Genomic DNA, 12,915 nt, shown 5'->3' on the forward strand with positions numbered 1-12,915 from the left:
ACTTTTCAGGTAATACTCAGTCTGAATTTATAATCCTTGAGGAAGGTGTAGGAAGGAATAAGGGAGGGGGAAATGGAGACAGAAGGAGAAAACGGGGCAGGAGGTGGGAGAAAGAATTCCTAGCTATAGGCAGCAGCAGTAACAGCAGCAGCAATAACAACTTTGGCAAATGAATATTGGGGGAGAATGAAGGCACTGTAAATCCCATATTATGTGCATCTGAGTAGTAGCAGATAAATTGATATATAGATATAGCTATGAAAATAATATGAGAGATAATAAACTGAAATGCATACAGGAGCCAAGCAACTAACATAAATGTAAACAGGGACCAAGAGGATTGCATAAAAGCACGAAGTGGGCTGCAAGTAAGATATTGGTGTCTTTATTGCCACTAAGCACAACACCCATGATGTTATGATACCTTTTAAGGTACAATTTGAACTAAAAGAAAAAATGACCTTATAAAACACACTGAGGTTGATTTATGAACCCTGAGATACTATGCTTAGGGTTTGAAGTTTGAGCAATTGTATGCAGTGAAATAATTTTCTGCAATGACTATGAAAGCCCTGAAAAAAGAAATTGTTTCTTATAATGGAGATAAAATAAAACATTTCAGAATCATATTTTAAAAGTATGTATGGCTAAAACTTTTGTTTCAATAAGTTCCTGAGTGTGGAGGAATTAAAGTTAATATCAAAGGTTCAATTTATATTATGTATTCTATGTGTGTGTGTGTGTGTGTGTGTGTGTGTGTATGTGTGTGTGGTATATATTTGCTTAAGTTAGTAACTTTAGTGCACTTTTCACAATTCATCTCTTAGAATTAGTCATTGTCAACTCAGTACTTTCTTTGTGCAGTGTAATATTTCCAAGTTTAGTTTGTTCACCATTGCCTCTGGTTTGAATTGTTATAATTTTGCTCTCCCCAGTTTTTTTGCCTCCAGTTCCCACTACCCCTAACTCATCATTTCCAGTCATTTCCTTAGGGAGCACCTGGGACTAGCCCAGCTGGGATTTGCATCAAGGCCAGCAGTGGGTATTGAGTATGAGGAGGCAAGACCAGCCTAGACTCTCCTGTTCAAAGTGGCCTACGAGTGGAGGAAGTCAACAGACATGTTGAAATCAGAGTCCACTGGAGAACATGGAGAGTTAAACACTGGAGGGTTCAAATACCAAAGGCTAAAGGGCCAAAGATAGGTTTGTAAACTACAGATAAAATCCTAAGCCCTCCACCAACTGAACAGACCCCTGCTTGGCCAAGGGGACCCTCAGAGAAACCCGAAACAGAGTTCCTGTCCATGACAGGAAGGGAGGTCAGATGTGCCTCATTATACTCCCCCCACTTGGAGTTTAGTCACAACTGACCAACATTAATGTTAAAAATAGAGATTGTAAGACTGACAAAACAGACTCTTTGTGGCAATAAGATACCAAATTATAAGTAAGACCTAAGGCCATGTGAGGCAAAGGTTAAGTCACACTTGCAGGCTGTCAATCTTAACAGGTTGCTTGAACCCAATATTTTGTGGCTGACACTGACATAACTTAAACATTCCTTTCTGCTGACTCCAAGTTTCAGACAGAGCCTTACTCCAACTGCAAATTAAAAAATCTCCAAATCCATCTATATATAATCTGTATATATATATAACCTGTAAACCCCTGCTTTTGGGCCAAACCAATGTACACCTTCTATGTACTGACTTACGACTTTGCCTGTAACTACTGCCTCCCTAAGCTGTATAAAACCAAACTGTAATCTGACCGCCTCAGGATCACTTACTCAAGGCTTCTTGAGTTTATGTTTCCCCTGGGCCACAGTCACTCATATTGGCTCAGGATAAACCTCTTTAAAATATTTTACAGAGTTTTGTTTTTCTGTTAAGGGGTTCTTAGCTGGGGGATGAACGAAGAATTTTGAGTTGGGTAGAGTTAGGTTAGGCTGAGAGTAGGTGAGGAACCTACAAGAATGGTCCATGGTTTATGTCTGTTGGTCAGTGGGTGTGTACATGGTGATTGGCATCCCAGACTGGAATCTGGGACTGGGTAGATATTGTTCTCTGTGCTGTTGTTAAAGGGGACTTTAGAAAATATGAATCAAATTATGTTACTCCATTTCTAACAATCACGTTTAGAATTCTACTTAGAACCTCACTACTTGCCATAACAATCTCCGATATAAAGTCAGAATATCCTAGTGTGTTACAATCAACTAGGTGTGTGTGCAGTCACATTTAGGTGTGTCTCATGCAATTTGTTGCTCATAATGACGTACTAAAGTTTGTGAAGTTTTTTTCCCGATACAAATGAGAGCAAATCTATTCTCTAAATCATACTTTGTCAGTCTCTCATTTGAGGTGCTTTCTTGATTGGAAATGATAGGTACAGTGTTACAAGTAATTCTTGGGGAATTGCATATAATCCGAGGCCTATCATAGGCCAATGTTGAAATCTTTTGCAAGCTACTCCCATTCCAAATGTGTTGATAGTTACTACCAAAGGTGATTATGTATTATTACAGTGTTGGACTTTATCAAACTGTGGTGTGCTCATAGGAGTGTGTTATGAAATAAATCATTATCTGTCATTTCTCTTTTTGAGAAAAACATGTTTTGAGATTTGCTAGCAAAATTTGCAAGCTTGTTAGTTTGTGCTGTCCTGTACAGCTTCATCTTTTCCTGTCCTCTACATGTGTGCCAATCTCATACTGCTCAGAGGTTCACCTCTCCATGTTTTTCCCTTGCTGTTCCTTTTTCCTGGAATGGCTAATATTGGGCTGCTGTGTTATATAATTCCAGACAGCACCATTCCTATTGTATTCTTAAGTTGTTTTCCTAGGAGATGGAAGAGGGTGGCATTCACAGAGCTAAGAGTTGTCCCTGAAGTTGTAAAGGGGAAGTTTTTTTATTATGCTCCCTTTCCTCATGGGTATATTTATTGAACTTTATTTTTCCTTTAAAATTTGTTATTGAAGTTCTCTTCCAAAATTATATTAATTACATGTGATGACTTAACTGTTGAAATAAATCAAAGATTACTAAATTTTTAAAAAAATCATAGGAATATATCCTCACCATGTCCCTATTTCCATCCTTAACATCTGAGGTTATCAAGAAAAACACCCCAGTGAAAAAAATTTTTGTAACTTTCTTCAAATTCTTAAAAATATCTATCTGTCTATCTATCTACAGCTGTATCTATATCCTTGGCCACTGTTTGTTTTTCTAAAATGACATCCTATAATACAATTCCCTGCAACATTCTAGACTTTCCTGTAGCTCCATATATATGCATGTGACTCACTCTTTTTAAGGGCTACTTTTAGAGTCCATTGGGGGAATAGTGAGAGTTAAATATGAGGGTGACCTAATAGCAAAGGCCAAAAGGCCAAAAATAGGTTCAAGGTGAGGGGATGAGCTAGGAATTTGGAGTGGTAGAGCCAGGTCAGGGTGAGACTGGCTGAGGAATGTAGAAGGATGGTCCATGGCTCATTCATCAGTAGGTGTTTACAGGGTATTTAGAGCATCAAGCTGCCCTAAGGGACCAGACTTTCCATGCAGCTTAAGTTATTGATCTAGCTAATTCTTTTAAAGAGCTGCATTCTTAGCTTGAATGTACTATGATTCATTCAACTTCTCTCCTATGCAGGTTGTTGTAAGTTTTGCCAACTTTCTCAGTGCTATAACAAACATACTTATATATATACTTGTAGGTTCTGAAGTTTTTGTCTCTATAAAGTACCAGAAGCAGGACTGAGAGGTTAAAGTCCATGTATATATAAAATTTATTTCTGTTGACAGGCTACACTCCAGGTAGCTGCAGAAATTCTCATCCCCTAGAGAGTTTCTCAATAATAGGATACACTTTTAAATTACATAGGCCACAATCTCATCTTTTTACACTCCACTTACTCTTAGAGTTTGTGAATCAAGAGCCTAAATTTGAAGCTTTTTACTAGAAGAATGCCTAAAGACATTTTTTTCTTTCTGTTGATGAATATATTCATTAAACCAAAGGAAGATTACAGTGATTATCTTGGAACTTGAAAAGGTCAATTTCATTAACTTCAGCAAAACAGGATAGACTGGCAGATACTAGAGTCTGGAAAGCCCACGTAGGTAGGAGTGAGCAAGAGAACAAACCCAGCAAATTCTAGGAAAAAAAAAAAAACTGGTCCAGGTGATAGGTTATTGTATTAGTCCATTCTTGCATTGCTATCAGGAACTACCCGAGACTGGGTAATTTATGAAGAAAAGAGGTTTAATTGACTCACAGTTCCACAGGCTGTACAGGAAACATTGCTGGGGAGGCCTCAGGAAACATACAATCATGGTGGAAAGCGAAGGGGAAGCAGGCACATCCTCACATGGCAGAGCAGAAGAGAGACCAAAGGGGAAGATACCACACACTTTTGAATAGCCAGATCTTGTGAGAACTCTATCATGAGACAACACTAGGGGATTAGAAACCACCTCCATGATCCAATCACCACCCACCAGGCCCTACCTCCTACACTGAGGATTACAATTGAACATGAGATTTGGGTGCAGACACAGAGCCAAACCAAGTCAGTCATGGAAAGAGGAGGCTTATTCAATAGAACAGTTGTAGTCAGAGCAGGTGGCACCAGGAAGACCCAAAGCTGGGTCCAATAAGGGGGAGTTCAGGAGCAAAGGATATTTGGAGACTCAAGAAAATAGGAGGGAGGAGGTTGATATCTGGGACATTTGTTGGAAAGTGGCAAGGACCAAGTCACTTATGGGAAGCAGCAGGGAGACATGAATCCCTTGGAGAAGGTCAGCCTTTCTAAGTCAGACAGATCTGCCTTCAAAGTCTGGCTCTGCTGCCTGCTAATCTTTGACCTGGAGAAAGCTGTTAAATCACCATGGATCTTGATTTCTTTATCCATATGGCATGTCAAGGAGCTGGCTTAGTGCATAGCACATACAATACATACAGTGTTTGTTGTTATACACATGCAGCCTAGCATTTCTAGGATTGCTGAATTTTTCCTTTGACAAAGGGTATATTTGTAGATGTATAGTGTAAAATGAGTTGACAGTTGTATACTCAGACTCCAGTATGCCATATTTACCTTGTCTTCTGGAATAGTTGCCTCACCTTTCCCCAAACCTCCTACCAAAGTCCTCTGTAGTGTGGCTGGTTAAAAAAACTATAGAAAACCTTGAGGCTGTCGTTTCCTGACAAGTAACAGCAGTGCCTGCAATGCCTTGATGCTGGGGCTATTTGCGGGATTATCTCTTCTTGGATATCCTTCAAGTCCCCCTTGCTTTCTAGTACTTAGTCCTAGTTCTGTTTTCATAAAGTCTCAAAAAGACTTGCCTATTCATCTGTTTTCGTAAAGTGTCAAAAAGCTCTCCAATCAAGCATACAGAAGTTAACAAATGCTGATGCTAAATTTCAGAGCATTGAGCCCATACACCTGGAAAACCTTTTGCCTAATTGTCTTGTTTGGTCCTCTGGTAGAGGTGGTTGAGCCTATCCCTTAGGGGGCCATAGATGTAGGGAACCATTTGGAGCTTGGCAATGTCAATGTTTAGAACTGGGCATTTATTGCCTGAAGGTGTATGTTATATACCAAGTTCTTCTTGAACAGAGTTGATCCTAATATCCTGAGAACAAGAAAGTACTTCTCGGGAAAGTACTTTATGAATTTCTGTGATTTGTTATGTTAACAGCAAACAAAAAATGACATAACAATAAAGTAAGAACCGTGCAGGGTGCATACCAGCTATTTTTAGCTGCTCAGAATCCATTTTTCTTCCTTTGGGAAATGGTATCTCAGTTTTCCTTTGGGCTCCCACCCTCATCCCCAACTCTAAGTCCATGTGATGGGCAGATGACTGAAGTCTTGCCAGTCAACATTTTTTATTTGCTAGTCATGACACTTAGTTTAACAGTGACTGAGCCAATGAAATTCAACCCCAAGACTTTGCTGAACTATTAGGAAAGAGACCGTTATGGTCATTCAGCTGGTAGAACACAAGCCTGGAAGTGGTGGTGGTCATCTTGCCAACATATGAGGAGAGCTTATTTAGAGCCAAGTCGTGCCTAAAACCACAATCCTCTGGACTACTTAGTCACGTGAGCCATTTAAATGGTTTTTGCTTATGTCAGTTTGGTTGTATTTCTGTCACTTGCAATTGAAAGATTCCTGACTAATTTAGCTGGGTTTCTGAAGTTGTTGAAATCCAAAGCTAAATGTAATGCTATTGAACTGAAGACTTCTCTAAATTGTTGAAAATCCAAATAGCAAATCTGAGGACTGAATGTGATTTCTGTTTATCATTAAGATAAAAAAAATTCTGAGCAAAAAATATCACCACACGCCTTCCAAAACTAAAAATAATACACTAGGTAGCAAAAAGGATACCAGCTTGCAATTTTCAGTGGCATTACTATTACCTCTGAGCATTACAGGTAAATACCATACATTTATCTGAGATCAGATGTTTAATCTAGATTATTTCTAGAGTTCCTTCTGATTCTTTAGTTCTAGACAACTATGTAGAAAATCAGGTATGATTTGACTTTTTTTGCCATAGTGTCATTTTATGGTGACATTGAAAGGGAGCCATGGACAATAAGAGTAGCAGGATATTATACAACATACATGGATTTTGGAACCAGACAGACGTTTCAGAATTCTGGCTAAATGACCTTGGAAAATTAACATAACCACTCAGTTTCAGTTTTGTCATTTCATGTAACATGGGAATAATGATACTTACTCCACCCTTAAAGACCAAGTGAAATGCTGTATACTAAATCTAATGTTGTGCTTGATGCATAGAATCCTAGTTTTTAAGTTCTATAAAGGAGACTTAGTTATAAATGAAGTTTCTAAAGTCACCTGTTATGTATTTGTGTAAATGATGCCCTCATTCATGCCTAGAAAACCCAGAATAAATCTGCTACATGTTTTACACATGAGACACCCTTCTCTCCCTAAACAGATATATTTTTAAGTAGTTATCCGAGTTTAGATTTGTTTCAGCAAAACAAGCGGCAATTATGGGAAACAGATTTCTCTAAGACTAGTTTGGGGAAATAATGCATAACCCTGGCTTAGGTTGAGAATACAATCATTTGAAATGCAGACACAAAGACCATTGGAAAGAAAGCTGGGTATTTGTAATACATAATGATAAAATACTATATACTATGTTGATTTTACTAGTGAGTGGATATTTTATTTTTGATATGCTCTATGTTTTTAAAGGTTTTGTAATCTGAATTATAGATGATACCAAGTATTCGCTAAGTTCCAAATAGCATCTGTTTCTTGCCATTTGATTTTTATTTTTTCTGGAAATGCATATTTTGATGATGCTAAAACCATAAATCTTTCTCGACAGTGCTCTCTTAGTTTTAATAAGTAGTAGCTAGGGCCAATTTCCATTTACAGTTGTTGAATGTTAAACAGCATTGGAGAATGTTAAGTTGTTAGATAACTGACTAGTTTTCTCAAACCTCCTCTGGTAATTAACCATGCCTCCTACTCCCTTTGCCACACTCCAAAGGGAATATGCTAATCCACTATTAGCTTTACAGCAATGGCTTAATATTCCATTTCAAGAACTTGTGCACAAGCATTGTGTAAATTGATTTCATTCCATTGGGAATTCACACCCAGAAGCACTGCCCTGACATGAGAGTAGGAGTGAAGAGGACCTCACAACTCTCCCAGCTATAGGGCCCTGCATGATACATGGTACATGAAAAGGGATCAGTGCATGTTTGTGGACTGAATGAAAAAATAACCACTGTAATTCTCTACTATAATGTTTTTGCTCACAAAACATCCAAATTGATTTAATCCAAAGGAGATGGAAAGTAATGCTGTGTGTGGGAAAACATGAATTCAGGCCTGTTAGTTTTTCTAGTAAGGTTCCTTGATGTGCCTTTCAGGAACAAGGCCTATGGGACTCTGTGACTCAGGAACACAGTACTTTTCCTGATGGCAAGGCAGCATCAAGATCCTCTGGGGCTTGCATTCATTCCTCTGGAGGCTGGATGTCACTCTTTTTTATTCTCCCATTCCTTCCTCACCTTGTAATACTCATCTGTTTTGCTTTTTTTTTTTTTTCCTAGGCAGACTCTTGCTCTGTCGCCCAGGCTGGAGTGCAGTGGCACGATCTCAGCTCACCGCAACCTCTGCCTCCTGGGTTCAAGTGACTCTTGTGCCTCAGCCTCCCGAGTAGCTGGGATTACAGGCGTACACTACCAGGCTCAACTAATTTTTTGTATGTTTAGTAGAGACAGAGTTTCACTATGTTGGCCAGGCTGGTCTTGAACTCCTGGCCTCAAGTGATCTGCCCTCCTCAGCCTCCCAAAGTGCTGGGATTACAGGAGTGAGCCACTGTGCCTGGCCTGCTTTGCTTTTTCTTATTTGGTTCTATGGTTCTTATATTTTTGTTAGTGCAAAGATCTCACATATTTAAACTTTTATGAAAAAAATCCTACACAGCTACATTAAAAAACATCACTCTGAATCTCTCTCATGTCTATTCAAAGTCACACAGATTTGCCATTTTTTTTTCAGGTGGATTGGAAGCATATGCTCTGTAGATGGTTCTGTGTCTATGGTCTCTTTTAGTCCTCACTACAAGTCATGAAACAATTCTGAGGCATTGTTATTTCCATTTGATGGATGAGGATACAGAGGCTTAAAGAGGTAAAAGTCATTTTCACTTAAGGATAGTATCTTGGTCTTGAACAGAGATGGCAGGAAATAGAAGCAGACAGGCAGGATGCTATGTCTGGACAAAATACTTTAGAAGTGGACATACCTTTATGGTTAATCTTCCTCTTATGATGCAAGAGGTTTCGTTGTGAATATGTTAAAAAATGCATTTATTTTACAGTCTTAATATCTCTGAGACACTCCAGGGTCTTGTGTACTAGCTTTTATGTAATACGATCTTTTAATGACTGCCTCCCTTACTTCCTATGTCACCACTTACTTTCTAAAGTATTTTAAGTCCCAGCTCAGATGTTACCCCTCAGAGATGCCTTCTAAGATTACTCTGGACCCTCCAATCACTCTCTATCCCAATGTCCCATTTCATTTCTTTCATAACTTCTTTTGCTGTTGAAAAATCATATTTTTTATTGTGTGTATCTCTACTGGGAATGGGAGCTGCCTAGGAGAATGGTCCTTGTTTGTCTTACTTGCCTCTCCATCCCCAGTCCTTAGAATAGTGCCTGGATAAATTATTGCATATGCTTCAAGATGCATACTAAGGTAAATGGCATGACTCTGATCCTTAAATACTGAGGGATTGGCAAGGGCAAGGCACTGGTGTGGCCCAGTCACAGACAGATGGAAGATGAATGGCAGTACTTCCTTTCTTTGCCAGCCGTTGGATTGTTCTGGCTGAGTGCACTAAGGTGGGTATAATTATCTCTTATGGCCTGCCCAAACAAGTGCCCAAATCCCAGTATAAAGCGATCTTTATCTAGGTCTCTATAGGCATTGACTGGGTTGTTTGAAGCCAAAGCAGCCTCAGTACATACTCATAACTCCTGGGACATTAAATAGATCCTAACTAATCCTAGGGATTTCTGTTTCAATATAGGATATGTGTAGATTGCTTTGAAAATGACCAAACTCCTGGATCCCTGCAAATGACTGTACGTAGTGATTCAGATAAAACCCTATTCTTCACCAGGTGCTATGAGAATTGCTTTAATACCACTTAATTTCATCTTTAAACACATATACGATTATTAGAGACATATACTATTATTATCCCCATTTTTAGATGAGGAATCTGAAGCTTAGAGAGAGTAAATGACTTGCCTAGGTCCCACTGCTAGTTGAGGAGGGGTACAAACCTAGCTGACTCTTCTCAAAATTGATACTTACTGCCTAATTGGCAAAGATCTGATGTCCCATTCTGCTGTGGCCTAAAACCTTTAAGAAAATTATGTTTATCAGCTATGAATGAATGCTCACAGTTCGAGGATGGGCCTAAGAGACATTGGCAGACACTTGGTTTAGAAGTTAACAAATAAGTCAAATGAAATCATAATTTTTAAGTCCTTAAAAATAGAAGTCTTATGCAAATCAATTTTTGAAAATTGGCTATATTAATTGATTTGAACTATATATGTACTCTGGAAACAGACAGACTTGAGTTCAAAGCCCAGCAGTTACTTAATGCTATGTAACCTTCAATAAGTTTCTTATTCTTTTTAGATTGAATATGGATTCCAATACCTATCTCACAAAATTTATGCAAGGAGAGCAGCCAGTTCAGTGCTTGGAGCACATAGAAGGGGGAACAAAACATTATTTTCTTTCCTTTAAGTATTATGGTTGGGAATTTTTTGGTTGTGAAGTTTTGTTTTCCTAAATTTCATGTTCTCCCAGTCATGTTAAAATTTTATGTCTATTCATTTCATTTCTTTCCTCAAGTATAGTTTAAAGATCACAATTCATTTCTTAAGACTTGTGCATCATTGCTCTGGTAAATCTCTTGGTCTTCATAGTAGTTGATAAGGTTTACTTTTCTTCTTCATTGAATCCTCCCACACCTCATCCCTGACCAGAGTGTTTCTTTTTGGCTTTCATTTTACCTCTGTTTATCATTCATGAACGTATGCCACAGCTTCTTTTGACATTATACTTAAAAAGTCCCCCCAAAGCATGCTTTTTAAAAGTTGGGGCACAGCGACCTTGCGAGAACATTCTTCTTGAAGGGGTAGTATTAGACCCTGACCAAATGATATCACCTTAAAAAGCTGGATTTTTTTAAAAGTCATTTTTTATGGTCATTGTCTAGAAACACTTGTGGTAAGAAGTAAAAATTCAAGCATGAAGTAGCTTAGTCATGACCTATATCAGCAGCAAAAACAAGGGCCATTAACTTGATTGGAACATATGAATCTGAAAGTGCAGCTATTCAAATAAAAATAGCCAGCTCTATGAGTCCAAGCAGGGCAAAAAACTACCTCCAACAGGAGAGAGACAATGTAAAGGCAATAAAATGTAAATTGTCTATAATATTGCTCTCAGAATAATGTCAATTTGTTTACACTTGACAGGCTACATTTAATAAACTTATCCACAATTTTTGTTCTGTTTATAAGACAAAACAAGCTGGATAGCTTGCATATTTGTCACAGACATTTCAGGGCATATGTGCAAAATTATAATAAACATACTCTTTTTGCAAACTCCTACTATTACTTTGTTCCTGAAAGCTCTGGGCTGCCAGGCTATTTTTGCATTGCCTAAGTCACTCCAAGGCGAGCCAGGTGCCATGGTGCACACCTGTAGTTCTAGCTACTCAGGAGGCTGAGGCAGGAGGATTGCTTGAGCACAGGAATTCGAGATCAGCCTGAGCAACATGGTGAGACCCCACCTCTACAAAAAGATAAAACAAAAAAACCCAAAAACTTACCAGGGTGCAAAAAGGCTGCCATCAGTGCTAGAACCCTAGTACTACAATCCTTCTGACTCCATACTGTCTAAAGGTAGATTACTCAGTTTTCTCTCTGTATTCTTGTCTTAGGTGCTATTGTGCTTAGAGTTGACTGTGAGGCAAGCCTCTGCATCTGTACAGGAATAGAACTACGATACCAAAAAGTACTTCTGATCTCCTTTTATTGGTTGTGAATAAGCACTAGTATCCTCATTTTACAGATGAAGAAACTAAATCTCAAAGGTGCTAAGTAAGTTACTGAGAGATGCTGAGTCACACTGATACTAAGTGAGTCATGCTGTTAGTGGGATTGTGAGTAGCAGTCACACTATCTGTAAGTTGCAAACTAACTGGACTCAGGGTGACCAATTTTCCCAGTTTGCTTAGGACGGAGGGGTTTCCTGGGAAGCAGGACTTTCCATACTAAAACTAGGACAGTCCCAGGCAAACCAGGATGGTTGGTAACCCTAGATGTCTGATTTTAGAAACACTACACTCTTTATCTTTCTGCTTCAGGCTCTAAAATATTTGGCTCTCCTTAAAATCTTTTGCCGTCATATCCTGCTGTAATCTTCACCCACCCACCACTTCTTCTGCTAGTTTAGTCGGCAGACTGTGCTTACCATTGCATTTGCTGTGAGACTCTTACTACAAATTGCAGCCCATTTACCCTCTTTTCTGGGCCACAGGAAATCGCGGGCTGACAACTCAGTGTCTATGTGGTTTTCTGAGCCTTTAGCTCTATTGGATTTCTAGCCAGAAAATTATTATTCTTCCTTTTTGGTGACAACTATGTTAAAAAGAAAAACTCAACAATTCTCTTGATTTCAAAGATGACAAGGTCTATAAAGAGGGAAAAAGCTAAAGACCTCTGGGCATTGAAATTCTTCCATCCAGATACTCTGATGCTATAATGATGGTTCCTGTTAACCATCAAATCATCTGTCAGGGATGCCTCAGCTGCACTTGGCAATTTCTCTCAGCAGAGGAGCATCCTGATGGTGAAAGGCTCCTGGCACCTGCTCTTATTGGCCTTGCTCTTCTTAGCAAGAATCCTCCCTTTAGGTTCCTCCCTTTAGTTGATCCTATTATTTTTGACAGCTTTGAGAGATAGCAACTGCTTCTAGTGGCTTCTTTCACTGATGGCAACAATCCTCTTAACAGCAGCTTTTCTGAGACTTTGCTGGGGTCTTTTGTTTTTTTCAGAAAGCCCCATGCTTCCTCTATAGCTGATAACTTAGTTTGATACTTAGTAGGTACTAGAGTGCTTATTAAGCCCTGTAGTGACAAACCATGGTGCTTTACCACGCTCTATGGCAGTGTTGTTCAAACTGTAGGTCCTTACTCCTTAGTGAGTCATAAATCAATATAGCAGGTCGAAAGCAGTCATTTTGTTACATGTGGCAGATATCTGAGTTACCCCAAGTTTCTGGCGTCACATCCATATGGGTCTGCA

The 12,915-nt window shown here is 39.0% G+C and overlaps 2 annotated features.

The window, feature by feature from the left end:
- Nucleotides 11,140-12,339: an enhancer, noted in NCBI's record as "P300/CBP strongly-dependent group 1 enhancer chr8:105677029-105678228 (GRCh37/hg19 assembly coordinates)". NCBI's record gives its function as "activates an origin of replication core promoter dependent on BRD2, BRD4, P300/CBP, MED14 and CDK7 cofactors, with strong dependence on P300/CBP, by STARR-seq in HCT116 cells {active_cell/tissue: HCT116}" and the evidence as "EXISTENCE:reporter gene assay evidence [ECO:0000049][PMID:35650434]".
- Nucleotides 11,966-12,015: an enhancer, noted in NCBI's record as "active region_27797". NCBI's record gives its function as "activates an Ori minimal core promoter by ATAC-STARR-seq in GM12878 lymphoblastoid cells {active_cell/tissue: GM12878}" and the evidence as "EXISTENCE:reporter gene assay evidence [ECO:0000049][PMID:35858748]".

Source organism: Homo sapiens, chromosome 8, assembly GCF_000001405.40.
Source record: "Homo sapiens chromosome 8, GRCh38.p14 Primary Assembly".
NCBI classification, from domain to species: Eukaryota; Metazoa; Chordata; class Mammalia; order Primates; family Hominidae; genus Homo; species Homo sapiens.